The following is a 2,921-nucleotide window of genomic DNA, read 5'->3' on the forward strand; positions in this document are numbered from 1 at the left end:
AAAATCTCCAAAGGAGCAAGTTTGAGAGGAGGGTATAGAATGCAATATTACTTTTGTAAATTTTAGATGCCATTAAAACAATCATGTGAAAATATCAAGGAGGAAGTTAATTATTAAAATCTAGAGTTTAGAAGTCAGAGTGGGGCCAGAGATTGATTTTGAAGTTATTGGTGTATGTACTATAATTATTATTAATAAATTTCATATATTTTATATATATTCTCAGGAATTGTATTATAATTCACACAATGACTTTAACAAAGAAATCATTTTTGGATACTCACAGTGGCCCAATCAGGCCAGCCTTTTAATCTCTATTTTATAATGAAACAAACTGAGGCTCAAAAGAGTTAAAAGGCTCATCTCTCTCACCTGTAGTTAACTTCCCAGAATTCACTGGGCATGTGCCTCTGTCCTAGTGAAAGACAACTGAATAAGACAAACTCTATGCCCTCAAGCTGCTCCAAGTCTAGTGAATGTGTTAAGCAATGTAAACAAATAATTGTACTATATACATTCTAATTAATGGACTTAAACCTCAACCTGTAACTTTAGAATTCAAATTTCATGAAAGATTTTTTTTTAAATAACACAAGTAAAAGAGGAAAGCAATAAACTACACTGCTTTTTCAGCCATTCGTAGCATTGGAACTCTACCTTGACAGTGGCTGTTCTAACAGAGAGGCCATCCCTTTGCCACACCTGTCAGCTGACTTCTACTCCTCTTTGCTCTAACTGCCTGTGTCGTTGGCCTACTAGACACAAAGGTTTTTAACCAGCGCGAAGCCTTTGTGCTTTGCTTGGTGGCACAAGCTGCAATATGTGAAGTCAATCCACTCTCTAAGTCCTTCTTCCCTTCCCAACCAGAGACATAATAGAAATACCAAATAGGAATATATGAATAGCAAGTAGGAACAAATATAATAATAGCAAATAGAAAGTTCATAGCTTCAAGTGAGGCAGTGCTAACCTGCTTTACACTTCTTGACCACCACAAAGCCTTGTTACTGAGTGTTTCCTTACCACTGAATGGGCAGTGAGCTCACTTTCTCCCAGTACTTGATGGCATGGGGGTTATCTTGACTTGAATGGGGAACTGGACAAAAAGGAGAAAGCAGTAAAAGAAGCTTCGGAGCACAACAGCCCTTGGTTCAAATCCTGGTGCTAAGTCTCAGGGAAAATCCCTTAGCAAATTGCTTCATCTGGCTATGTTAAATGAGTGAACAGCGAATGAGATTCTGTATATAAATTCACAGCATACCTGCCTCCTACCCCCTGCTCCACCCAGTAAAATAGTATGAAAGTCATCTTTCTTAACAAGAAATCCAGTTCCCCAACTCACCAGGCGCTTCTGGACATAACTCTTGGATTTCAACTCAAAGAAGCAGGCTGACCACTGAGCTGACCAGTGGTAGCCCCACTTCAGAGACAGACCTGGCTGACAGAGAAAATAAACTAGGTGAGGAGTTGTCTCCAAGGCAGTTTTATAAGTCAGATCCTTGCTAACAGCCAAAGGAAAACAGCAACTCTTTCTCCCCACTTCCCAAACTCTGTGAAATACGGTATATTTTCCAAAGTCAAGTGCTTACGGTTCTCTATTGCCTTAAGAAGCAGGAGGCCGGCAAGGAAGGGGCCTTGGGGGACGCAGGGAGGGGAGATCTATGACACATTGTTCTGAGAAGGTGGAAGAAGGATGACGGAGGTGTGTGGTCCTGCAAAGTATAGGCCAGGCGATGCCTCCCTCCCCCAGAAACTCATTTATCACCTTGATGGTTTCAGCTCATTTACAGCCAAGTTATTGTCACCCTTAAAATAATGTGGCTTGACAGGGAAAAAATGAAATCCTTGTGAAAAGTTACATAGTCATCACACTCTGGAGTCAAAATATAGACTGCAGTATCCAAACACCGGGGCCTGGGTACGGCGGGGGTGGTATTTCCTCTCTCCTGCAGGCTTTGGTTTTAGAACAGGACATTAACATTTATGTCATGTTAACGTGCACCTAGGCATGGCGTGTGGCCTCCTGCCATGGACACAGAGAAACACATGCCCCAGCACTGCCTCAGCACGACCGCCAAGACTTTCAGTATAAATGGAGACGCGTGTTTCCTTGCCCAGAGAGTTAATAGCGGGCGACGACATAAATGTTTGGTCATCCCCCAGTGCACAGACTCCATTTCACATGTCAGGGAAGTACTAAATCTTGCCCCGCTACAAGCAGCAACTGATTTTTGACATCAGAACCAATTAAGCCAAAGCCTTCTCAGCTTGGAACCCCCAAAACATCCTAGGCACCCCCAAAACATCCTAGGCACCCCATTTAACTAGCTGTGTGACCTTGATTGACTTTCGTTAGCCTCAGTATCCCCAAGTGTAAAATGGTGATAGCTGAGTGTACCAGCATTGTTTATTGCAAAGAGGAAATACAAAACTGTATGCAAAAGAGTTTGTCTTGGTTTCTGGCACACAGCAAACATCCAGTACAAGGGATTTTTCTTCCCTTCCAGTTTCTGTCTTGTCTTTAATACCTTTACATCTGGGCTCTAAGAACCTCAGTCCCATAGAGCAAAACTAATTTCCTATCACTGCATAATAGTCAGAACCTGCCAACATGACTATGTGCCTTGTTTTCTATTCTGCACAGCCTGGAAGGAGACCAAAGCAACAAGGAGAGCCATCTCACTGGAGAGGCAGGACTGACTGGCTAAAGGAGCCCAGTGAAGAGGTGGCAAGTACCTGGGGTGCAGCGCCTATCCCTCCCAGCAAGCCCTCTGCCTCCCACCCACTGTCCACTTTGCTCCCCAGAAAGATTGCAAAGCATCACATAACTATGCCTTTTCTGCTTTAGCTTCATCTGCCTGAAATTCCTTCCTTTTATTTTCCCTTGCTGAGCTATTCATCTTTCCAGAACAGCAGTCGGA

General features: G+C 43.0%; 1 annotated feature.

Annotated features, from left to right (window-relative positions):
• Window positions 1,082-2,667: an enhancer, noted in NCBI's record as "VISTA enhancer hs1247". NCBI's record gives its function as "enhancer in: other[10/16]" and the evidence as "EXISTENCE:transgenic organism evidence [ECO:0001131][PMID:17130149]".

Source organism: Homo sapiens, chromosome 4 (genome assembly GCF_000001405.40).
Source record: "Homo sapiens chromosome 4, GRCh38.p14 Primary Assembly".
In the NCBI taxonomy this organism is placed as follows: Eukaryota; Metazoa; Chordata; class Mammalia; order Primates; family Hominidae; genus Homo; species Homo sapiens.